The 26,721-nt window shown below is 45.2% G+C and overlaps 1 protein-coding gene across 1 annotated transcript in view, besides 2 other annotated features; it reads right to left on the bottom strand.

Moving 5' to 3' along the window:
* The window catches only part of EPHB1 (EPH receptor B1), a 465,208-nt gene that overhangs the window by 362,707 nt on the left and 75,780 nt on the right, over positions 1–26,721 (bottom strand). The window lies entirely within an intron of this gene.
* Positions 4,980–5,619: an enhancer, noted in NCBI's record as "OCT4-NANOG hESC enhancer chr3:134610984-134611623 (GRCh37/hg19 assembly coordinates)". NCBI's record gives its function as "activates a minimal SCP1, AML or CMV promoter by ChIP-STARR-seq in primed H9 embryonic stem cells {active_cell/tissue: H9 hESC(primed)}" and the evidence as "EXISTENCE:reporter gene assay evidence [ECO:0000049][PMID:30033119]".
* Positions 22,500–22,759: an enhancer, noted in NCBI's record as "active region_20575". NCBI's record gives its function as "activates an Ori minimal core promoter by ATAC-STARR-seq in GM12878 lymphoblastoid cells {active_cell/tissue: GM12878}" and the evidence as "EXISTENCE:reporter gene assay evidence [ECO:0000049][PMID:35858748]".

Genomic DNA, 26,721 nt, shown 5'->3' with positions numbered 1-26,721 from the left:
AGACAATCCTAGGGTTTTCAAGCCAAGATGAAGGAGGGTGTGTGAGGAGGAATAAAGGCCCCAAAGGGAGAAGTGGCCATTCATCCATCATCCATTCAACATGCCAATCAACAGTGCAAGGGAATGACGGGGGCTGGCCACTTCAAAGTGGGTGGTCAGGGGAGGCTGCCCAGAGGAAATGCCACCTTGAGTTGTGGATGAGCTGTGGCCCTGAAAAGACCCGTGGAGAAAATATCCTGGGCAGAAGAAAAGATGGTGCCAGAAGATCGAACACACCTGTGATGTGAGGAGCGCCTTAAGAGGCCTGCGTGTGATGTAACCAACCCCTGCTTTGCTGGCCTGCACTGAGGGTCCCTGCAGGGCCGCTCCTTCACTGGCCCTTTCTTTGCCCACCAGCAGTTGCTCCTTTCCCCACCCTCCCTCACCCCTGACCCAAGAATGACATTGCCAGGAGACTCAGGTCTGAGTCCAGAGGATTAGAAAGGATCTGGGATTGGGGTATCCCTTCCTTACAGATGCTGTGGCCATTCAAGGCCCCCCAGGCCAAAATAAGGTTGGACTCTTCCAGAACCCTACAGATGATGTGCTGACCAAGAAGATAACTGCCCTTCAGGAATAAATATGGTAGAGGGCTGGGCTGGGCCCCAGGTTCCCTGACTTAACTCTGATTGTGGCAGAGAATCATGGATCACCTCTGCCCTCTGCTTTTCAGAAAAACCCTCCAAGTATCAGTCATCTCATTGCAGGGCCCTGTGTGGCCCAGGCCCACACTCCATACAGCCCCCTGGTGACAGGCAGATATTACGCAAGGAGCATGACACTCACCAGGAGGGACCCCCATCCAGCTCCCTTGCTCGCCATTAGGAGGCAGAGCCACTAGGCTCACCCTTCGCCAACCTCCACTCGCTTGGACACCCAAGGGCTCTTGGGCAGGGCCTGACGACAATAGCCGCAGTCGGCATACAGATTGCGGTTTCTGTCACCACCAAACCTGTGGTGCTTTCCAGCAAATCTGCCCAAGCAGGGCTTCCCCCTGAACCTGGCACCTCAGGGAATTATCCCTGATGAGCCAAGGCTTCAGAGCAGAGAGCAGGGTGTGGAGAAGGTTAGCGCCATTGAGATTTACAGTGGAGACCAGCATGCTTAGTGGGGCCATCGATGAAGGAGCAGGCCCTTGGCAGAGGAAATCATCAGGTCACTCCACAAAGAGAAAGGTCAGCAACAACACATCAGTGGGGGTGGAAATAATCACTGTCTGAATAATAACAGTAATATTCACGACAACAAGAGCAACCATTATTGGGTGCTCACCGTGTGCCAGGCATGGTCTCAGTGTTTCTGTTAATCCTCAATAAGCTTATGAGACAGGTTCTGTGATTGTCCCCCTTGTGCTGATGAGGCAATCCACATCCAGTGCACCAGATTATGGAAGAGGGCAGCCAAGGCCAAGGAAAACTGGTAAAGAACAAGCTCAGCAGCCAGAAGACTCAAGTCAAATACAGCTCAACAGGTCTGAGATGACTTCTGCAGGGAGGGCACGAAGGAGCTTATGGGCCCGTGAGCAGCTGGAGGTCTCGGTGATCTAGGTGGCATCTTAGTTAGAGCTTAGCCCCTGGCCTCAACATGCCACAATATGTGTCCTGGTGTACCTGTAAAATGCTTCTATTTCTTCATCTCCCCATTGATCCTAGGAAGGCTACACCTCCCTGCTGGCAGATGTGTGAAGAAAACTAAAGAGGGAGTCAAAGGAAATATTCTAGTTCCTTGCTTCTCCCCAGCCCCTAACTCATCTTCAAGCCTGTTTGCCAGTCCAGAGATGGGTTGGCAAAGGCTACAGAAATTGGGACATTTTGCTGTAACTAAAGGGAAAAGTAGAGGACAGCCTTATGAAGGGACCCATGCTCATTTCAATTTGGATTTGAATTGCATAAACTCCTTCACCCTGTCCATCCTTTTCAAAATGCAGAAGATAAACCTGGCTCGCTCTTCTGTTATCAGCCCACTTTCTCTAGCAGTTGAAACTTGAATAGAAATTTAAGCTGCCCTGCTTAACATTCGGGTGGCTTTTCCTCTTAGAGCTTATAAATACAGAATTCACTTTTGCTTACATGAGTGCTGGGAAGATATTTGAGCATTTTTAACTGGAAAAGTGCATGTTTTCAGATTCTGTATCTGCACGTAAAAGGTCCTAGCACCATATTTTAATTTTTAGCTTCATCCAAGCCTGGAAAATTTCCACTTCAAAGCTGTGGCTTTCTTATTTTCCTTGTGGAAAAAATGCATTGGTAACAGAGATGATTCTCTCCCAGCTCATCTTCTCTCTGCGTGATGTTGGAAGGATAGCCACTCACTCTCCTACACACTCCTTCTGCACAGGACACCAAGACCACCCCTGTGTCCATCTGGATCCTGACTCTCTGTGACTGGGAAAAATGTTACACTCACAGATTATCTGGTGAGCCAGCAAATAAAGAATGAGAAGACAAGATCAAGACGGTGTGGATCTCTGTGGGTGTCAACTGCTGGGGCCAAGCTGAGCTGGAAAGAGCAAGGTGGCCCTCAATGCAGTGGAAAGGAAGCAGGGAAAAGCAGAGGGCACTGGGGTTCTCCTAATGTAGACTCCTATTTTGCATTAATTTTGTATAAATCACATCTTTTAAACTGCAAATCTCCAGAAGAGAGGAAAGTGATTATTAAAGTAGAAGATTTGGTTGTGCATGAGAGAGTGAAAAGCCTGTTTCAATGCAGAAGCCCAAGGCTGGAGGCAGCCACTCCTTTCAGATGCTGGAGATTTGTTGAACTCAAACAAGAAAAGAATAGGCTCTGGCATAACAGCCACAGTACTTCATTCCCAGGAAAGAAGAGAAAAGAGAAACCACAGAAAAACACCAGTTAGGGGAATAAAACCAACAGAAGGAGATGTTTTCCCGGAACAAAGCACTTGGCTCTTCAATGTGTTTCTGCAGATCAGAGGTGACCACGAGGAGGACGCAGAGAAAATCCTACCTTCTATGTCAGGTGTATTCATGAAACACCCAACTAAGTAGTGATGTTGAAAAGCGCACAGCAGAGAGTCTGGGTACTGAGGCTGGCTGGTCTGCTATATCAGAGCCCTTGCTCTGAACTGAACCTCCCCATTGTTCTTCCAGAGCCCTCTTTCACTTGTCAGAACCCAGGAAAATCAAACCAACAATCTGGGCTTTATAAACAGTGTTTAGACAGGGAGAAGGACAATACAGAGAACACAGGCTTTCAGAGAAGAAATGGGCACACGAGGTGCAACCTGTCCTGGAGGCTGAGGCAAGGTTTAAACAACCTCTTAGAAGGTTTCTAGGCTGTAAAACTTTCACCTTTGCATTTTTCCTCCAGAAAGTTCAAGTCATAGGATTACAAGGAGCCTTAGATAAGAAAACTGAGGCCCAAGAGAGGGGTGACCTGAGCTTCATGGCCAGTCCAAGTCCTCTTTTCACAAGCCACACCATGCTGAACTCCGAAGTGGTGAAAAGGGGACATCCAGGGAAGTGTCTCTGTGTCCCAAGGCACCTCAAGATGAAGTCACCAACTCAGTTCCAGGAATATTAGGAGCCCCACACGTGCTGGGCTGCAAGGATCCTTGGAAGACGGGATGGTGCTCTTTTCAGCTTAGAATCCCTGCTTTGGTAGGAAGAAGCCAAACAGGCTCAGCTTGGTAAGTGGGGAGGAAGAACTGCCATGCACATTGGAATAAAAGAGGTGTGGAATAAGGATGAAAAACAGAGGAAGCAAATTTAAGAGCGCTCCTTAGGGAAGAAAGATACTGTTGTCTTTGGCATTCATTCCTGCCTTCATTTGCTCAGTTGGGTCCACAGTTTGGCCACAGGCACCTGCTCTGTGAGGCACTCTGCTAGGTCTGTGGATGAAATTCAGAACATAATAGGTAGGACCCCAACTCCCACACAGTTTACGGTCTGGAGGGACAGACAGGCAGGTATCCTGCAAGGAGTTACCCAAATGCCTTAGCTGACACAATACGACAGCATATGCATGGAACAGATAATGGGGGCCCTGGTTTGACATAAGGATGAAAATATTTCCTAGAAGAATCAGCCTCAAGGCTGAGACTAGAGGGATGAGCAGAAGGAGCCTGATGATGGCGAGGAGGCTGGTACTGGGTAGGACTTGTCAGACAGAGGCAAGGGCAAGTCCAGAGCCCTTGAGGCAACCCTGGGATCCCTCACTTCCGAGCAAGTGCAAGGCTCTTGAGGTGGGCATGTGAGTGTAGGGGGTGTGGGAGGGAGAGTATGTGCTTGCACTGGAGAGAGGGGTGGGAGATCAGGCAGGCTGGACCTTGCAGGCCACATTAAGGTTGTTCTTTGTTTGGATTTATGATTTGTTTGCTTGTTTTTTCCACTTTATTCTCAGAGCAAAAGGAAACCACTGAAGTGTTCCAGGCAGAGCGACCCGTGAACAGATTTGTTCATTCCTCATTTCAGTTAACATAGTTTAGGTTTTCAGTCTTTAGGAGCATTCCAGATGCAAACAAACAAACAAAAAAGGTTTTATAGGCTTACATTTGCTAATTATGCAACTAATTAAGTCTGTATTCAGAACAATGTCTACACCCCCTGGGACCATCAGCACCCAGGGCCATATTACAGGGAGGTGGACCGTACTGGGGATATCTCTTCTTACATTCTTGTAACTGAATTGGTTCTCAGATGGATGAGGAGATTTTTCATTATATTTGGCTAGAGAAAGATGCAGAGGGCTGATACCGTGTGTGTGAGCATGTGCCTCTGTGCAGGATGCATCCTCTGTTTGCAAGGGGCTTGACCCAGTCCGAGCAAATGGTGTTGAACTAGCTGGGGCTCAGCAAAGCAATCCATTTATTATAATTCTGCCGAGAAGAGGCCCCGTAAATCAAAGAAACAACCTGACTGCAAACAAATTACACACCAAGAGTTAGGATAGAGGGAGGGAGGGGAGGGCAGAGTGGTGGCCAATTGGGAAAAGTGAGAATAAAAAGGAAGGGCCTAGGGAAAGCCAGAGAATAGAGACCTACAGAGATGTCTAGAGTCAGAAAAGAAATAAAAATGGAGCCTAATTTGTCCATCAGGAAGAAAAAGAAAAAGAAAAGACTCCTACCAAGAGAGATCCCATTTTCTGGAAACCCCTAACTTACAAACACTTGACTTTAAACACCAACTGCTCTTTGTTCCCCTGAGGGGTCACCTAGGGAGTGATTGATGGGCAGTTACTTTCTCCTGTGCAAATGTTCATAGTTCTCTTTTCTCACGCAAATAGAGTTGGGAACCTCTTCTTAAGACAGAGTTAACCTGTTATTGGTACCCCTGCTGCAAGTATGCATCCCAGCCTGGGAATCCCTCAGAAACAACTGCCCTTTTGGAGGTGAAGGCCCTTTTGCCGGGCCAAAGTCAGGAAAGATGGATTTCTGGGGTCTAAGCATGGAACTAAGCCCATGTTCCTGTCTCAAGAACTGTGACAACTAGTGGGTAGCTGTGGCTGGTATTGTCATGCCCACACCCCTGGCAAGGACATTAAGCAATAAATAGGCTCCAAGGCCATGTTGAGGAAGCAGCTCAACTACCACTTAGAACATCCTTTCTGTGGAAAAGTACATTCTCACATCCAAGTAGCTCCTTTATAAATTCAACTCTGAAAAAGAACCTGCTTTAAAACTGCAAAGTACTTCTATGGGAGTAGCAAAAGTTTGGAGAGGATCTGCTGAGACAGTTACATCACAGTTCTCCAAAACTCACTTATAAGAACAGAAGCCTGGCTAAAGAGAGAATGATATGAGCTACAGTAGGAGGCTGCAGTCTATGGTCATTCCCAAGGAATCTGAGTAAACTCCCTCCTATCTAACATGGCATAGTGTGACGGAACTATAGAGAAGAAAACTGGTTCCTACTGTAAATGCTGAAGCTGTAAGGAGGGCTCTAACACCCAGATCCTACCAGGATGCTTCATACACAGTTTCCCAACCCTCAAACAGACCTTTGGATCCATCTTGCTTATGAATATCAATGCAAATGTCCTAAGTAAGTTATTGGTGGAGAATCTAACAAAACACTGAAGGACAAAGTAAAATTTATTATAAGGCAAGGATGGTTTGACAATAGAGAATCTATTATATAATTAACCATATTAATAAATTCAAAATATTATCCAGGTGTCTCAATGAACATCAAAAAGGCAACTAATAGTATTTAACACCCATTCTTGATTTTTTTAAAACTCACAATAAAATAATAGTACATGGATACTTTCTATTTTGGTGAAATATATCTTCTTCAAACTCAAAATGCTTAATGAAAAACATCAGAAATTTTCCTGGAAAAATTAGGAATAGGCCAGGGGCAATGGCTCACACCTGTAATCCCAGCACTTTGGGAGGCCAAGGCAGGTGGATCACTTGAGCTCAGGAGTTCAAGACGAGACTGGGCAACATAGTGAAACCCTGTCTCTACAAAAAATACAAAAATTAGCTGGGCATGGTGGCGCATGCCTATAGTCTCAGCTACTCTGGAGACTGAGGTAGGAGGATTGCTTGAGCCTAGGAGGCAGGTGCAAGTTGCAGTAGGCCAAGATCATGTCATTGCACTCCCGCCTGGGTGACGCAGTAAGACCCTGTCTTAAAAAAAATATAAGAACAAGATTAAAATGTCACATTTACTATGATTGTTTAGCATTGTTGTGGGAACAGTAGGCAAACAATTAGCCTAGGATATTAGATGTATAAATTGGAAAGGAGGAAAGCATGGTCAACATTAGTAGGTAATATGATCATACATGTGACAAAGCCAAGACAATTAACTGGCAATCTGTCTTAGGTGGTAAAAAGGCAGGCTATTAAAGTCATATATAGAAAGCAATGGTTTTTATCATTACAAACAAGATAAATTGAAAGAGAAAAACCCCACTTATAATAGCAACAAAAGAGACAAAATACTTGAAAATATACTTAAGAAGAAAAAAGATAAGGTCCATGTTTTTGGTTAAGAATTCTAAACATCATAAAGATTTTATTTCTTCCTGAATTAATCCATAAACTTAACCCAATGAAAGTGTTATTTATTTATACATTCATTAGGGAATAGTCAAGCTAATTTTAAAGCTCAAACAAAAACAAACAAGTGCACTTACTCCAAAGAACAGTCTGGCTCTATATAGGAGAGCTGAACAAGTACATATCCCATGAACAAGCAATTCCATTCCCAGCAATATGCCCAAGACAGCCAAGAGAAATTCTCAGAAATGTACAAAGGAGGTACATGCAAGAGTGTTAGTGTGAAAAACTGCATACATCAATTTTCAACAGGAAATGCCCATCTAGAGGAAAATTAATAAATTGAGGTATTTCCATACAACAAAATACCATAAAGCTTTGGCAGTAATGGACTAGAGCAACTTGTCTCAACATGGATGGATCTCTCAAACATATTATTTAGTGGAGAAGAAAGGGGACATGATTCAGAAAAAAGCATATATCACATAATACCATTTATATAAAATTTATAAACATCTGGATTGCTGTTTTGCTTAGGTTCACATGCACAGGCATTAAACATGAATAAAATGCATGGAAATACAAAACGTCAAAGTCAGTGGGTACCCCTGGTGGAAGGGGGGGTAGTGACTGAGGAGAGGTGGATGGGGGCTTCCTCTGCGTTTGTAGAGTATATTGGGGATATTTCAGAATCTGGGTGGTAGGTAGATAGGTGTTTACAACACATCTCTCTTTCCTTTCTTGAAGTGTTGCATATACTTTTTGTAGGTCTGAAACATTTTTAAATCATTTTAATATAAAATAAATAAGTTTTGGGAGGCTGAGGTGGGAGGATCACGAGGTCAGGAGATTGAGACCATCCTGGCTAACACGGTGAAACCCTGTCTCTACTAAAAATACAAAAAAATTAGCCGGGTGTGGTGGCGGGCACCGGTAGTCCCAGCTTCTCGGGGGGCTGAGGAAGGAGAATGGCATGAACCCGGAAGGCGGCGCTTGCAGCAAGCGGAGATCGCGCCAGTGCACACCAGCCTGGGCAACAGAGTGAGACTCTGTCTCAAAATAAATAAATAAATGAATAAATAGGCAAGAATAACCAGGAAAACTTTCAAAAAAAAGAGCTGTAAGAGGCAAATAGTCTTAGCAGATATTAAAACATATTATCATGCCATAGCTAGTATAAACAATGTGGTAGTGGTATAAAAAGAGACTGATTAATGGAATAAAATATACAGTTTAGAAATACCCCCATTATTTCTTTTTCCAGAGGGATATCTACTTGTCCTAACACAATAGTTTCTGCACAACAGTGCTTGTCAGTCTTCACCTCGTCTCCCTTACCATAAGGTGGCAGGACTTGGGGGCTGGAGCCACAGCCCAAAGTGGCCCATCATGAGGGTCAAGTTTCTTTGAAGACTCTAGTGATGCTGTTGAAATGAGTGCAGAATTTGCAATCTACTAAAAAAAAAAGAGATACTTTCTTGGTTTGTAATCACCCTAGCCCAGGCCACCATCTCACCAAGCTGAGCCTCCTGCATCTCTTCCTTCCCGCCTTATCTTCACCCAAAAGTGTCTTCACTACCAGATTATTCTCTTGCCTCCCTTCCCAACAGCTTAGAAGGACCTTTTAAACATGTGAATCATATCTGCTCACCCTCAAACTCTTTAACAGCTTCCATCGCACTGAGCAGAAAATCTAAATTTCTTCCCAGCACCTATGAGTGGCTGCTAATGGGTCTACTTCAGCCCACCTCTGAGTCCTCAGTCCCTACTAACTTACCATCCCTCTGCTACTGGAATCTGCCAAACTCCTCCAGGCTCAGAACTTTTGCAGGGCCCCCCTCCCCTTCCAGAGCACTCTTTGAAGCTCCAGGAGAGCAGAGATTGTGTCCACCTTGCCCATGGCTGAGCCTCCATTCCCAGAACAGTGCCCAGCACATGGTGCCACTCAAATATTTAATGGATATGTAAATTACACTGGCCCTCTGGGAAGATATGCCTTATGATTTTCAGGAAGAAAAGCTATCTTTCTTTTTTTTTTTTTTTTTGAGATGGAGTCTCACTCTGTCGCCAGGCTGGAGTGCAGTGGCGTGATCACGGCTCACTGCAATCTCCAACTCCCTAGTTCAAGCGATTCTCCTGCCTCAGCCTCCCCAGTAGCTGGGCTTACAGGCACATGCCACCACACCCAGCTAATTTTTGTATTTTTAGTAGAGTTGAGGTTTCACTATGTTGGCCAGGATGGTCTCGATCTCCTGACCTTGTGATGTGCCCGCCTCTGCCTCCCAAAGTGCTGGGATTACAGGCGTGAGCCACCACACCCGGCCCAGAAAAAGGCATGTTTCTCTTGAAGGGACTAGGGATATAGGCCACATCAGATCACAAAACAGCTTTCACCGCAGGTCCTCAGCTGCCCTACAGGAATCCCCCTCCCTCATGGCTTGGAGCTCACAGAAGAGACCTTCCAGGTAAGTGTAGAACTGAGATCTGTGTGGGTTTCAATTCCAGTAAAATGTGCATTTCCCCAAGTCCGACTCAGTCAAGGAAGACCCCCAGTGCTCTGGCTGGCTGCCCCTGTGATGAAAGGGCAGCTACTGCTTGTCAAGGGTCCTTCCTCACCCTCAGAAGGGATTCCCTCTGCTCAGCTTGCCTCGCCACCCGTTTTCAAGGACAGGGAGAGGGGCCGCACCAGAGATAGAGCCTTCCATACACACTGACCCCTCGCTCCTTGGGAAGAGGGGCTCAAGTCCTTCCCTAGTACAAAGCCACTTGTAAATGCTAAACTTGCAAAAGCTCTCACTCTACTCCTTGTCAAGAGAAGTGGGCAAAGTGAATCAACACAAATCCAGGCTGGAAGGTCCCTGAAAATCAGAAGATAATTCCTCCAAGTGGGAAATAGTACCTGTCTTCTCTTAAATGACATTTTGATAGCTGTTTGATGATTACTCTAATATTGATGTAGTTCTCTCCTTACAAGGAGCTCTAAATACTTCATGGATATGGTCTCATTAATCTTCAACTTTTTCTTAACTTATAAAATGAATCATCCTACAGTGATAAAACAACAAAAGCTTGAGTTTCCTTTATCATCACTCCCCAAACAACTCTTTTTCATTATTCAGATTTATAATGAGGTGTTTTGGTATCCTTTGAGTTAGTATCAAAAGATATAAATGGAAACAAATACTTCCTGTTCTTTCTATGCAAATACCATTCTCTTCCTGGCTGCCTTTTGTCCCTAATCTATCATGGTAGATGGTTATAATAATGGCTCCCAATGTCTATGTGTCTTAGTAATGTGACTTTCCCAATTCTTCCCTCCAAAAATGATATTTCTCCATCTTCCTGAAGCCAGGCTGTCCTTGTGACTTGCTTTGACCAATAGCATATGTGAAAGTGATATGTGAATTTGGGAGCTTACGAGACCTGACAGCTTCCAGTCTTGTCTTCTTGGACCCTGAGCTCATCATGCTATGAAGAAGTCCAGTGGAGTCTACTAGAAGATGATGATCACATGAGGAGAACGCAGGCCCCAGCCAACAGCCAGCGCCAACTGCCAGACCTGAGAGTGAGACCAGTTTGGAGCTCCCAACCCTACAACTAAATGCAGCTACAGGAGTGGGCCAAGTAAAACCAGAAGAGAAACGACCTGGCCAACCCACAGAATAATGAGGAATAAACTGTTATTGTTTTAAGCCACTAATTCTGCAGATGATGTGTTGCCCAGCAATGGAGAACCACTGCCCCATATCTGTTGCTCCATGATTATATATCTCCAATTTTTTTTCCTATTTCCCTATTTCCTCCCAGATGAATTCACTCTTTGGGAAGATGTGTGATTCAGAATTTTAATCAATTTGTAACAGTCTCTGGTCTTTGACAGAAATCATGATGCCTCCTCAGCTCCATCAGTCACTAATTGTGTGACTTTGGATACGAAACTCAAACTCACCCTCTGCCTGAATTTCCTCACCTATTTAAAAAAAAAACAGGATAATTAATGTGCCAACCTAGGGTTGCTGTGAGCTTAGGATAAAACATGCAAAAGGTTTGCACACTTCCCAGCACATAGTGAGTACTCAAGAAATATTACATGCTATTAGAGCTGTAAAATATTTATTCAAGTAATACCTTCATTAAGTGTTCCATAAAATTATTATTTACAGGAAGGAAAGCCCTAACATTTTAGGGATCACTTTATCTGTGCCATAGATCCGATAGATCCGTGTTTGTTTTTTTCACCTTTGCAACATCCCAGATGGGTATGGCAGAAAATAATCTCCGAATTTGATTCTCATCACTGCCATTTATAAGCTGGGTGACCTTGGCTAAATGACTTAACCTCTCTGTGTCTCTCAGTTTTCTCAAAAAGCATACTTCTGGGTTTGTTGTAAGAAGAAATCAGTTACTTCCTGTCAAGCACGTAGAGAATGACTGGCCAGAGTAAGTGTTCAAAAGATATTAGTAACAGGTTATAATCCCCTTGGGGCAGATGATGGTGCTGGGGCTCAGAAAACATAAGACACGTGAACAGGACCACACAGGTAACAAGCATGCCTTCTGTTCTTGCTACTGTCACACTTGTGGAAATGGGCCCCCACATCCTCCTGCTTCTGCTGACCACAAGGGGCAGAGCCTGCCTCTTTACACTTCACCTTTCCTTTTTCTGTAACTAACTTTAACTGCTGCTGAGTCACCACCTTCCCCCAAGGAAACTTTTTGTTTTTAATTAACCAACTCTTAAACCGATGCTCAGCTCCATGAGGCATCACTTGGTATGTGGATTTAGCCTCCAACACTGCTCAGTCTGGGTTCTTTGTTGGCCAGCTCTCAACTGGTCTGGGCACCTGTGCTCTCTCTCATGCTGCCCATCTTCAGGCTCACACGCACCACACTGTAGATGCCACTCATTCTCCAAAAGTCTGTCATGAGAGGGCATAGCCTTCCTTGAAGGGGTTCCTTGGTCAAAGAAGGTTGGGAAGTACTGCTTGTTCTCTCCTCCACCAGAGTCCGGAGCTCTGCCTAGACAACAGTAACTAAGCCCCCTGGGTTCTGTTGACCCAGAAGTTTTCCAAATGTTCTCCGCTATGGAGCCCTTTCTTCTCACAATTATGTTCCACAAAACTCCTTGGATGCTATAGAAGGAAATTGGTTTAGGGAGTTATACAGCTACAGAACTGGAGAAAACTATCTGACTGTTGCCTCTTGGTCAACTCTCCTCAAACCTGGGGTGGACTGCCTCTCAAATACATGGACGTTGGCATATTTAGTTTCCTGCAAGGAACTGCAAGGCACTGGGAACAATGATAATCACTGGGGAAAGAATGGGGGTGAAGACTAGGGAGAGAGGCCATTCATCGCTTTTCATTCTGCAGTGGTGTCTACTGTTTTGCGTTTCCTAACATTATACACATACTATTTTGTTGTCGTTGTTTAATGTCAACAGTTCACTGATGCTCTGTTCATTATTCTTCAACCTTTTATCTTTCTGTGTCTCATTTTGGATTGTTTCTATTGTGATGTCTTCAAGTTCACTAATCCTTTCTCCTGCAATGCCTCATCTTCCATCAATCCCATCCAGTACATTTCTCATCTCAGATGCTCATCTCTAGATGTTCTATTTGGACCTTTTAAAAATATCTGCTGTCTCTCCTTACCATGGCTTATGCTTTCTTCTAACTTTTTGAAAAGCAGAAGAAATTCTTTGCACCATTAGAATCCAAAACACTTTACTACAATGACTTGGGGAATTCCAAACAAAATCACCCTTTAAGACCTGCAGTAAAGGAGTCATTACATCCACTCCATGTTTCCGCTCAGGCACTGTCAACTCCAGCATGCCTGTATGTACATACACACTCAATAAATGCTTGCTGATTGACTGACTGTAGGTCCTAAGATCAGGTTTAAATAGGTAGATTGCTCAATTGTGGTTCATCAGTTTGGTGCCTCCCTTGTGCCCACACACAGCAGCACAGCTCAATCCACATAACAGAGGAAACAGACACCAGTATTCCACCGTGCCCCATACCTTGTTCTCTTAAAATGCAAGGATTCAGAATAACCAAAGGAAATGTGGTCTGGGTCATTCAAGTCTTTTCAAAGGAAAGAGTATTATTAAATTTTATCCTGTTGCTTATTTATGCCAATTTTTGATATTTTACTTAACTAACAGAAATGTGTCTGATGCTCATTAAGTCTTTGAATCCCAACTAATTATAAGCCACCATATTCTCTAGCAAAAATAGACCACCTTCTGATCAAACGAATTTCTCAATCCCCAGGAATGGCATCTGAGCAGCTTTGGCTTCAAGCAGATACTTTCAGAGTTAAAAGAAAGTTGTACTCATTTATTTATAATAAGCATATGCATACAAAAAGGCTTCTTTGAGGCTTAATAAAGTAATAGAATTATGATCACTCATGCCCAGAATTCTTCCAGCAGTACATTACCCAACAAGAAGCATTCAAATTCCCGGCCTCTCCACACCATCCCTGCTCTCTGAACATGCTCCAAGGTGGTACCTCAGCTTTCCCCCAGCCTTAGCACATGGGACTCAGCCAGTGGTGACTCACACTGGAGTGCTGCTTGGACATTTTGACATCACTGGCTTGGAAGTCTGACTATAGTCACAGGGGCTGAGGGATGGAGGCCAGAATGGGTGGTGGCATGGGGCAGGGCACACAGCTCTAGCACGGATGGACCTGGGTTCAAATACCATCCCGCTTGCCACCTTGGTGTGGCCTGGCTTATGTCATTTAAATTCATGGTGGCTGCATTTCTTCACCTCCTAAACTGGGGGAAATGGATCATGATTCACAGAGTTATGATGAGATGATGCATGAAGTGAATTTAGTACAATGCCCAGCACCAAGAAGGTACCTAAGAGTGCTCACCCTGACCACTCACCCACCTCTTGCCTCTAAGGCAGGGCAGTATCTGCCCTCTGAGTCTCCGGCCTCACTGGGAACTGCTACAGAGCCTCCATGATAACCACAGGTTACTCAGGAAGGTCTAATCTCAGAACAGAAGTGATCCCCTTGTTTACCCGGATACATTCTGAATGAAGCAGTGTACTTTATTTTCTGATGGCTAATTCAGGGCTCATACCTTGAGGGCCACTTGTTAAAACCTAGCCCAGGAACCCTCTCTTCCTTCAAAAAAACACAACTTAAATCACTTAAACTTTCTGGGAGGCTTTAAATTTGGTCAGGCTTGCATTCTTAGAATTTTAAAACACAAGGATTAAATAGGACCTTTGAATCCAGTTCTCGAATCTTCCCCAAGGTTTCTGCCAAGAGACTGTGCCATCTCTGTGTGGGACGGAATGCTCACCACCCTCCATGGCAGGACATTTAATTTTTGGTCAGCCTGGGTTCAAATCAGGGACTTGGTATAAACTCTGCATGAGGGGCTCCTCTTCCTTATGGCCACTCATGTCTGCCTGTGGATCTTTTGTCTCAGACTGTCCTCATTTCTTCATGTTATGTTTGGATATGTTTCCAGTTTCTGCTTCTCTAAACAGACAATGGTTTCTTTTGCCTTCTTCAAAGTGGAGTGCCAACATGTTGGAATTAGCAAAGCAAGGGACCTTTCATATTCCCATTCAATCCTAAGAAAGCTTAATTGCAAAGCTGGGCATGGTGGCTCACGCCTGTAATCCCAGTGCTTTGGGAGGCCAAGACAGGCGGATCACAAGGTCAGGAGATCGAGACCATCCTGGCTAACACGGTGAAACCCCATCTCTAGTAAAAATACAAAAAATTAGCCAGACATGGTGGCACGCACCTGTAGTGCCAGCTATTCGGGAGGCTGAGGCAGGAGAATCGCTTGAACTCAAGAGGCAGAGGTTGCAGTGAGCTGAGATCATGCCACTGCACTCTAGCCTGGGTGACAGTCAAGAGAGAAAGAAAAGAAAGAAAGAAAGAAAAGAAAGAAAGAAAGAAAGAAAGAAAGAAAGAAAGAAAGAAAGAAAGAAAGAAAGAAAGGAAGGAAGGAAGAAAGGAAGAAAGAAGGAAAGAAGGAAAGAAGAAGGAAAGAAGGAAGGAAGGAAAGAAGGAAAGAAGAAGGAAAGAAGGAAGGAAGGAAGGAAGGAGAGAAAGATTGCAAGAGAAAGACATGTTCAGGTCTCGAAGTCTATCATTTCAGAGCAGACTCCCCCTACCCACAAGTTGATTCCTCATGGTTAAACAGTGTTATGGCCATCTGGACGCTGATGCTTCATAATTGGGAATTTTTTATAGCTTTAATTATTTCCTCTGTTCTCTTTTCTTTTTTATATACAATGAATCATTCTGGTCCTGAGAGAAAAGATAAAAAGATTTTTGAAAGTTATGGCTGTAATTTCAATAGAAGAAGATGGGGCTTTGAGGAATATGAGCATTTGTTGTATTTTCTGAGTCCATTTTTCATCCCCACTGGTTAACGAAGATGTTATTTCTCTCTCACATTTTGGTTGTTAATTTCTGACAAGTTTTTCTTTTAGTTATGGCTGGTTATATTCCTCTCAGTTCATTCCTCTTTTGTCTACCTTATGAAATATTCAGTTCTTCCTGATAGGATGAGGCTTGATTCACCCCTGGCTATGATTAATTGCGCCAGTATTTTGGGACCTAATTTATGTGTATATGATTCCTCTAGTGTTTCCATTTTCTTTTCTAATTATCAATTTTTTCCCCATCTTTTTTCCTGAAATTAGTACTGAATTAGCTTGCCTCTGATTACAGTCTTGGATGCATCCCAAATAATATTGTTGGACAGCTCCCATTATCATTTCATTCCATGAATTTTTTGTTTGTTTTTTGCAATAAAGCTTTATTAACCCTCTGTGAACCCTTATTTCCATTTGCTCAGTCATCTTTGATGGAAACTGCATGAAACCATGGTCAGATGTCATGGCAGTCACTCACACATTTTCTTCTACTGCCTGCCAAGCCAAGTTCTTTTTAAAAAGTCAGAATTCTGGGGATTAAAAATAAGATCCATGCCTGTGTTAAGGGACTGATGTAGTCTAAGAGGTTCTTCCTCCCTTTCAATTATTCATTTATTTATCACTCTAAAGTGGATGTCTGCTGAAGGCCATAAACCGATTAGCACCCCTTTGTCAGGCCTCTTTCTCTTGTAAGTCTTGCCTGTTTTAAAGAGAGATCCTTTCAGAATAGCACCCCTTTCAACCCAGCTCTACAGCTGTTTATCCATCAGTCTCCACTAGTAGGTCTTTCCAATAGCTGCATCAGTCTGAGACAGCAGGTGGGGCCCCAGGTGAGGCGGCTTTAGAATGGAGGTTTCTCTTATCCAGCACCAGCTAAGGCACCTTCGCTCAAGTCAGCCTGGGGTCTGCATTTTGCTCTGCTTCTCGGGTTCTCCTTTCTGACAATTCCATGCCTCCATCTGCTTGCACATACCTGCATGTCTTGTCCTGCCAAGCACACATCTACATACAACATACTGCAACATATATGTTACACCCCAGCATACCCATCCACACATGAAACACACACCTACACTTCCCACAGAGCCTTTGGAGCCTCTGCCTCCCAGGAGATGCTGTTTCCTGCTTTGGAAACAGCATACAAGGGCTCTGGGCCATCGCTAACAAAAGATCCTCCCACAACTAGCACATCTCCCACAACTAGCACAACTCCCACATCTAGTGGGGGATTTGGCTACCCCAAATCCCCCACTAGAACAGAGTGCTCAGACTTTTTTGACCAAGTCCCCTCTACTATCCTTGATCTGCCAAGGTGAGTGTGGAAATGGTGCCGCTCCAGTGAGAAACAATTTTATTCACTTTAACTGCATCCCAACTCCCAGAACCCTTGGCCATGTAATTCTCACATCATCTCTTCCTCTCACAGATAAAGCGATAATATTCCATCCCTCTTAAAAGGAAGACCCAGAAACCCAATTCCTGGCTGCCTAATCTGCGTGTGAAGACACACTTGGGATTCTCATCAGTTCTGAGTGTGCCTGGAAGGGCCGCAGGCCCTCAGCCTCACAGCTTGGCTCTAAGGCCCAGATGCTCATCTACCGCTCTGCCCAAGCATTGGCTGGGTGCTCAGAGGGTGGTCCAACAACATGAATCTTGGCTGAGCAGTGGTATGAGCCCAGCTGTCTGGCCTTGTGGCCTCTGGTGATGGGCCCTCAATGCCACACCCTTGGAAGTGGTTGGGGTCATCTCTTGGCTGTGTCGGGGGGCTACAGCAGTCTCCATGAAGGGACTCCTTGTTAGGATGACAACAGGCAGCTGCCACAGAGTGCCTGCCCTGATTTCAGGCCAGTGACAAGAGGAATGGACAAAGGAGGAAAGAGCAGAACTAGTCTTTACCTCCTATAGGAAGTGCCCAGCAAGTACCCTGTATGGAGTCATCAAACCAGCCCTGAAGGTATCCTCACCAAAGCCCCTTTGTTGACCCAGGAGCTTTTTTATAATCCTAAGGTGTTATGAAGTGTCTTGAAGGAACACTCTTCCACAGATCTCCCAGGGCAAAGCAGCCCGGGTCTGTCACATTACATCCTCACACTTTCCAGTCAGCTGTTCAACAGCTGGAGAATAGCACCATTGTTGTCTCCCTTTTGCTCCATGGGTAATGTTTGACCAGCTGCCCTTGGGCCAGTTCAGACTGAAGCAGAGTGCTTCTTCCCAGAGGGTTCTTCCAGCCTCTGAGCAAAAGGTGCAGTTGCTGAGAAAGAAGAGGAAAGTGCAGCATCAGGGAAGGCCACTGAACTCCAGCATTTGGCATTGATAATAAAACAACTGGAGCCCAGGGTTCTCAAAGAATGTTTTTATTATTTGTTCTTTAAGTCTGAGACATCCTCTAGGGTATGTTGATCGTTTTTTTCTGGCCTCATTTATTTTATTTCTCTGACTTTCTTTATCTTTGTAGAAATTTATTTAAGACTAGACTTCACCAACCCCTACTTTTTTTTAATTTGATTTTGCTGATTTTGATGGCATCAGGCTAGGTTTTGATATAAACCTTTCTGCAACACTACAGACCTGTCTTATCTCTACCAGAACTTTGCCCAAACTAGATTCCCTTGCTCTAATGCCAGGACCAATTTCCTCCATTGAATTTCCATTCTATTTATTTATTTATTTGGAGACAGGATCTCGCTCTGTCTCCCAGGCTGGAGTACAGTGGCATGATCTGGGCTCACTGCAACCTCCACATCCCAGACTCAAGTGATCCTCCCACCTCAGCCTCCTGAGTAGTTGGGACCACAGTTGCACCCCACTACACCCACTTATTTATTTTATTTTATTTTTTTGTATTTTTAGTAGAGACAGGGTCTCACCATGTTGCCCAGGCTAGTCTCAAACTCCTCAGCTTAAGCGATCCACCCACCTCGGCCTCCCAAAATGCTAGGATTACAAGCATGAGCCACCATGCCCGGCCTTCATTCTTTTCATTTATTGATAGGATCTGTGCTTGGCAAGTGGGTTTGGCTTGGGATTTGGATCAGATTTTGGTTTTTCAGGCTGAGCAGTGATTCAATGGTTTCAGTTCCTTAGAGAATCCTAAGAGCTGGGCTCTATTCTGTGCTGCCTCTAGCCAGCTCTGAGCACCTTGGATATGCCACTCCATGTATGAGCCTTAGTCACGCCTCCTGCAAAAGGGGAGGAGGGTTTCCTGGGTGCAGGAAGGGAGTCAGGCACCACTAGTGACTTACAAAGTGATTTTACTGTGCACCAGACAAGATCACATGGAGTGGCATGCCCCTTTCAACTTCCTTTTCCATCCCTCTGATTATCTTAACGGAGAAAGTCTTGGCAGGAGTATGGTGTGTCTTTAACACCTCTCAAACACTTATTATCCAAAAACAAGAGAGCAGGCTTTAGATTTTAGTAAGAGCGAGTGTTATTTTTTTCATCAAAAGTTGTCCTCTATTCATTGCATATGTCCAATTTCCCATGTACCATAGTGACTGTTTTACAAATGAACACACTGAAGTTTTAAAAAAGTGAATCAATAATGGTACAGACAATAAACCCATATGGCAAAAATTCATCAGGGTGGTTGGTGTGTGAACAGAAGTTCAGAAAACACTGGGCTGTATGGCACCAAAAGTCCCTCCCAGTTCTAAGCATCTAGACTCCTGATTGATAAAATTGTCTATCTCTATAATCACAGTTGTCACAAAGAGGCCAAATCTTCCCTTTCCATCAGCTCCCTGGAAGCCAAGGAAGCCATAGCAGAGACAGCTCTGTCCCCAGGAGCCCAGTCCTCAGCACTGAGGACTCATCCAACCTTAGGAGAGGAGCTATCTTCTCTCTAGCAGGGGATGACGATGTCGACCTCTTCAGCCAGTCTCCTCTATCAATAGTCAGTAGGGTTTCTAATTCAAAGGGTTTCCAGCCATTTTTGTTCTTTGATAATGTTAATATGAGCTGCCAAATATCCCTGCCCCACATCTGGCTAATTCTCCATTAAGAGTAGAGTAAATTTAAGTTTGGAATAAAGAAAATGAATTATTCAGAATAGCTATATTTCACCTGAGCCATTTTCTTAAGAAATTGCTTAAAGAAGAGCCTAAAACTTGTTCTTAATTCATAACATACAAATATCCCTCAGAAGGCTCCATAGAGATGGGGCCAGAAGATTCTCCCAGGAAGTTCCAGCCTCAGCACCCAAGGCCGTCCTCAGCTGGGGTTGGAAAACCTGTCACACTCAGTGCCTGCCCTCCGGGGGAAGGCTGGGGTAATCTCCATGCAGAGAGAGCCCAGGCCAGGAGGCAGAGCAGGAGGAGCCACCCTTCCCTCAGCCACCGCTCCCAGGGACTGTGTGGGATTCACTCCGACTTCACCTGGAAGCCAGCCAGATAGCACTGGAGGCTCTGGGAGCTCAGTGGAAGAGGACTCCTCTTGCTGAAGGTCTAGAGAGTGGATCTGGCCTGACTCACTGCCTTGGGGTGACACTGACAAGCCTGGCACAGCATCCCCAGGCCCTCCAGGTTATGGGGCCGAAACCACGGGTATGACAGGCTGCAGGTAACACACAGCCCCCAGCTTTCTATAGCAGAAACACCCTCTTCTTTCCCAACCAGGAAAGCACATGCAGTGAGAGGGGGAAGGTGTTATAGGGAACAACTTTGAACCCTTACCATTTATAAGAGAAGTAAATTATTCACAAACCTAGTTTCTTTGTTGTCAGTAACAATTTTCTTGTGGCTTATCTCCTGACCGATGGTGACCCTGTTTCTGGAATTAGTGTCTTTGGGAAAGTTGGTGTCATGGGTATGTTCAGCAAACCACCCAGCAGCAACTGGTTGAATATGGAGGCCTGAGGGTCATAGGAAAAGAAGGACAGGTGTTCAAAAACAAAGAGATAGAGCTTCAGGGCTGACCCTGCTGTGGGGGTCAGGGGGCTTAGCAACAGGGTTGACTGTCTTCCTTCCCAAAATAACAGGGAAGGGCCCAGCGCCTACAATATTGTGCTATTGGATTGCTATCCTTGCTGCACTGCATTACCATCTGAAGCTAAGGCTCTCCAGGTGTCCTGTCTGTGACATGACTTTCTTGGCCCACAAAGGAGTGACCCTGAATGGTGGATCTTCCTAGATCCCAGGACCCACAGGATTTGGACCAGTGTGTTCATCAAGGGTCTACGCCTATTGCCAGGACCATGACCCCAGGTCTGCCATCTAACTCCAGACTCTGCTCAGCATGGCTCTATTTATGCATGAGTCTAAGACTGGGCATGCACTCAGTGGGCTTACAGGTACCAAGGCCCCATGGGGTGTAGGACCTGGGGCGTGTGGTAGGATTCAGAGCTCAATGTAACACATGTGCATGAGGAAAAATTCATTCCACTGGGAATTCATTCCTACAGCACCAAGGCATGTGGGAAGCATGCAGACCTCTTGGGGAAGGTGGGAGCAGTCAAAGAAGGTTTGCTAGAACCAAATGTGTTTGCCAGCCCTGGATTGACAGCCCCTTTCTTTAGGAGGAGTGCCTGATTCTACTCTGGTAGTATACTCTCTCCCACTTTCAGTCCACGTGACTCAGTGAGGCTCATACCCTCCCCAACCTACCCCAAACACTTGGCGCCATCCTCACCTATCACCCCAGCCATAACCATTAGCCACATGACCCAAACCAGCCTACTGAGCCTCTCCCTGCAGCCTTTTGCTGGCACTATGAAGACATGTACTGTCTCCATTTCAAATCTGAACATCTGGGTGGCTGTCTTTGCCACTGCCTTAGGGGCCTGCCTAAGCATGAACCTTACTGAGAAGAGAGCAGAGCCAAGGGAGGGGAGAGTCCAGGCCCTCGTGTTGCCTGAGCACTTGGATCCAGCAGTGTCAGAAAGTATGTATTTTTTTCAGCTTTGTGAAGCAATAAATTTCCTTTTCCTTTAAGCTGTTTTGAGTTGAATTTCCATCACTTGCAACTCTACAGAGGCTGAGCCCTACAGGCTGGGCAAGAAACTGACAAATGAACAGGGATGAAGGAGGAAGAAAGGACATCTTGGAGATGTGCAGGTAAAGATGGGGAGGCCAGCATCAGCCTGAACATGGTTGGAGAACAGCACACTATCCAATCATCACTGGTGAGTTTAACCTAGATGTGGGTGAGGAAGGGGTGGAGAAGGATAAGGCTGGGGAAGTGGGCAGGGGACATGGGAGTCATGACACTTATCCCACAGGGACTGAGGAGCCCTAGACCACATGCTGGAGGATGGGACTATGCCCCATCATCTTCTCATTACAAGCTCCCTACCTAGCACACGACTCAGTGCATATTTCCCATGCGAAAGCTGAATTATGAATTGAAAGTTGCAAAGCAGCATGATGACAAGACCAAGTGTGCAGTTTAGAAAGCTCCCTCTGGCAGCTGAGTGGAGGCTGGCTCACGGGATGTCAGGTGGGATGCTGGGAGGCTACTGAGGGGGTGGAGGAGATGACAAGGCTCAAAAGAGGCCCTGTGGCCACTTCCCTGACCTATTCTATTTGGGATGTCTTTAAAATTTTTGCTTTAAAGACTTGGAAGGAAAATAAGTACTTGAGAAATGGAATAAAAATAGGTAAACACAATAATCATCTCACTTAGGTACAGCGATCTATGGTGTTTCCAGCCCGCTCAAAAACATTAGCTCATCACCACCTTGAGAGGTAGTTATTATCCACATTTTAGCGATGTGGAAACTAAAGTTCAGAAGTACTGAGGAACTTGCCTGCGACCATGGCACCATTAATGTGGAGGCTTGGGGCAGAACAGTTCTACAGTATCATGCCATCCGGGTTTCCCTGGGGGCTTCTAAAGGCCATCAACCGCTCCTCACTCCCTGCAGTTCCATAAGTGCTCCTGCCTTCCACAGGGGACACAGGGACTGAGACCTCTCATACTGCCCACATGCCCGTCTCCATTGCCGGTAGTGCCTCCATCTGCCCAATCTCTCCCTCCCAGCTGGCCTTCTGCTCCCCTCTGTCCGCCAACACAAAGCCCTGGTGAGACACCAGGTGGGCAGGTCAGTTGTTTCTGGCTGATTCAAATAGAAAGAGATCAGGGACAACACTTGGCTTCTCTCCAACCAGCACAGCCACATGCCTGGACTCTGAGCTGAGCTGCTGGGCTTCCTTGCCGTGCACAACAAGTCAGGGCCCTCCACCCCTGGAGATTCTGTCAGGGTGCCAGCAAGCACCATAAGAGGCCAGTTCCTTCAGAGATGAGTTCCTAAGTATGCCAGGACTGAGCTCTAGAAAGTACCCCGGAAGTGATGCAAAAGCCTTACGCACTGGCTACCCAAATCAGACAACCATGGGAAAAGGTAACAAAGTGACTGTCTCCCTCAAACCGAATCAGTGACTCTGAGCTTGAGAGAGGCGGATAGCAATGCAAGCTCCGCCTGGTATGAAGGCAGAGGGAGGGCTTAGCAATGACTGCAGAGAAAGAGGCCCACACTCTGTAAATAGCCCATCGGGTAACTACAATCATGAACACAGCCCACACATTGGGAATGCTCCTCCTGACAATCCTCAAGAAGAAAGAGGCACATGTCTCCCCATTAGGAGTGATCTCTGTGCTTTCTGGTGAGAAGTGGAGAGTCACTGCCCACCCACGAGGTTGTCAATGCAGGAGTCTTGCCGGTCATCCAGGCCAGCCTGCTGCCTCCAGGAGCCAAAGGACCCACCATCCCAATGCTGCTCACAGACCTTGAGGGGGTTGGGGGATGGCAGTGCAGTGGGTAATGTTTTTAGAATCTGTTGCCGATATTTCAAGTGAATATTTTACTTCAAAACCCAAAATTTGTTTTCCTTTATTTCTTCTATTTAAAAAAGGGGGGATACATGTGCACATCATGCAGGTTTGCAGTATACGTGTGTCATGGTGGTTTGCTGCACCTATTGACCCATCCTCTAAGTTCTCTCCCCTCACCCTCCACCCCCCAATAGGCCCCGGTGTTTGTTTTACCCTCTCTGTGTCCATGTGTTCTCAATGTTCAACTCCCACTTATGAGTGAGAACATGCGGTGTTCGGCTTTCTGTTCCTGTGTTAGTTTGCTAAGGATGTTGGCTTTCAGCTTCATCCATGTCCCTACAAAGGACATGATCTCATTCCTTTTTATGGCTGCATAGTATTCCACAAAAAACCCAAATTTTGAGATTACATTAAAGAATATCCAAAGTTCTGTCTGTTTGCTTCTGTGATCATCTTGTGGCCACAGGCCCACTCAGCCACCCTGGTGAACACAGTCTGTCCAGCTCTGCTGATGTTTAAGTTTCCACCAAGAACCAACCCAAGGAAGCAGCTGAATTTCTGCTTATGTCAACATTTTTGTGGAGAGGAGAATTCCCCATTCTCCTTTCTCAGTCTCTCCTTGCTAACCTGAGTGACAAACTACTGCCCCATGACCTCACAATAGGATTACTCCACCAAAACTAGAACCTGAAGTTGAGTAGAAGAGAGATCACGTCTTGTTCACATTTATTTTTTGTTCTCCAACCCACACTGGAGACCCCTCCATTGCCCTAAACCTCATACCAACTTCCCTTCTTAACATCATCACAGGACATGCCATCTGACCCCACCTGCTAACACAGATGCGTGGCCAGGGCCCTCTGGCCCATGGCACTACCGTGCAAACCCTGCTTCTCTAGAAGGGCAGCAAGCAGGGTTTGGAGTTAAATCAAACTAAGGAGAAGACCATCAACTCGGTGCATGACAGACAGCTCAAAGAAGAACCTTGTAAATTAACAACAGCGTGTAACAAGTCCCCGCAGCCATATTTCCCCAATAAATATATACACTATTACTGCAGAGATGCAGACTAGGTAAAAAGACAATTACAGTTGTCAGCTATTAGAATGCTGATAAATCCAGCAGGAATCCCCAAACCATCTAGGTCATATAAATTTGTCAGATACACACTAGAAGAGTTTTCTCTTACTTGGGGAATGGGTGGGGTGAATTCAGTTCTAAGCCCAGTCTAAATTACAAATCCTTAATAGCACTCAGAGCAGCAAGATGTTCAGGCCACAAGCACAAGGGAATCAGAACACAGAGGAATCACTGCCTGCCCCTACTCACTCTGAAGCCTGCTGTCATAACCTCTCGCTCTTGCTCTCTTCCCTCCCTCCTTCCTTTTTCTCTCTTGTGCATGATCTCTCAATCTCTGTCACAGCACGGGTAGTTAAAATGGCATAATTCTAATTTAATGGCTCTAGTTTAAGAGTCTATGCTGAGATAGAAAATTTCAGGTGATGTATCAAACATCTAGAAATGTCACTGTGTGAATTGTGGCTAAAACATGAGCCATGTCTGGTCCATGAGATATTCCCCGGTCCATCCCCGTCCCTGTCTACAGTATCTCAAATTGATCATTCAGTCATTCATTCATTTAGCAAACCTCTGCTGGGTTTTCTTGGGATGCCAGGCTCCGTACTAGACAAGGGATACCGGGAAAAATAAGGTGTATTCCCTGCCTCGTGGAGTGCCCAGTCTGGTAGGGGAGGCATACAAGAATATTCTCTTACAGTGCTCTGTGATAAGTGCATGATGTGGGGAGGGGGAAGTACTAAGGTATTCACCCTTCATTATAATTTATGGAAAGACATTGAAGGAGCTTAAGCAGGGAGTGACATGATCACTCATGTAATTGAGTAAATTGGATGTCAAGAAAGCACTGTTCTGTCCACGATATTGTTAGTTGGATTGTCATACAACTGGCAGCCCCCATTCTAGCTTTGCTTTATTTATTGGAAATCTGTGATGTGTAATGTGACAGGTTGGCTATAAAAATGTCTAATCACTACATGTGAAATAGCCATGTCTTTCAGCTTTGCATGAAAATGGCAAATTCTGCTTAATGTTCCTGGACTCCTTTACAGTCTGATTAATTGTACTAGATCCAAATTATAAGAAATAGAAGAGGCAATGGGAAAGAGAATTAAGACTGCTCACAAAGGGCCTCTCCCTCGAATGGGAATTATCTTTCAAATGTGCTTACAAGAGTCCGGGTTAACCACGCTGAGGCTGTGCTCTATGAGATATCCTGGAGACCCCTAAGCAGACACAGTATCAGCTTCCTCCTGGAGAGGCAAAACAGTTACCCGGAACACAGGCATCCCTTGTCAATTTGTTGTGAGAGGTTGTCCCTTATTCTCAGACATCAGGTGAGGCTCAGAACAAACAGAATGTACCAGAGGGAAAACAAAGAGGTAGGACCAGAAAGTCAAGAAATTTACAGCAAAAAAGTATCCCCTCTACAGGGGAGCAAGAGCAGGTGCAAGTAACAGAGGTGGAGGGAAGGGCAGTTTGACCACCCCTGTGTCACCACATGAAAACACAGCATCCTGTGCTTCCTATGAAGCTATCTGGCTACCACATGGCTCCATTTCAGAGCCTCTGGATGAGGGAGAGATTAAAAATGACCCTTGTTTGGAGGCTAGAACAACCCAGTAGAACATAGTGCCACTTACAGTGTTATAAAGACTGAGGGAAGAGCAGCGCCCATTTGGACATAACATGGCGGAGGAGACTCTTGGAAATCCCAGCAGAGAGATCTAAGGACAAAGGGGTGCTACGTGTTTGCAGTGAGTGAAGAGACTAGGCTGGAAGTAAGTTTGGTAGTCATCAGTGTCTAGATGGTATTTAAAGTCCCAAGATTGGCTGAGATCACCCAGAAAGCCCTGGAACATGAAGTGCAATACACTCAATAAATAAAGGCAATAATAATGATAGTAAATAATAAATAATGAATATGGTCATTATTATTATAATGGTGAAGAAGCAGAACAACAACCTCACATCTACTTGGTTTGTCTCTGGAAACTGAATCCACTTCGAGCCAGCCGCTGGGAGCTCCAGAGCTTGCAGTTCTTTCCCCTCACTCCAGTGCCTGGGGACCTCACCTGCCAAACACCTCACTCCCTCACCCCAGGTGCCCTCCCAGCCTAGAGAATCAGCCAAACTGACTCATTTATTGCTCAGATTATGAAAGGTATCCACCTGCCTAGACACAGGGGCACACAAGCAATAAAAGCAAGAAAGCAGCAATGTTATAAATAAGTGATGGTCTCTTCATTAGGTCCTGAGCTGTAATCATTACTGGACTGCTCTCAGGTTCCTTGAGCTGCAGCTGGCTTAAAAGGTCATTATCCAATATTGTTTTAGTGACAAAGTATTCTTATGACTTCCCTCTAGCCTATGCTTTTCTAATCTCTACTACACTATGAAGCAGAGACCTTTCTCAGTGTGTAGTAACCCATGGTA

The sequence above is a fragment of the Homo sapiens genome, chromosome 3 (assembly GCF_000001405.40).
Source record: "Homo sapiens chromosome 3, GRCh38.p14 Primary Assembly".
NCBI classification, from domain to species: Eukaryota; Metazoa; Chordata; class Mammalia; order Primates; family Hominidae; genus Homo; species Homo sapiens.
Note: the sequence above shows the minus strand (reverse complement) of the source record. Positions and strands in the feature narration are given on the sequence as shown.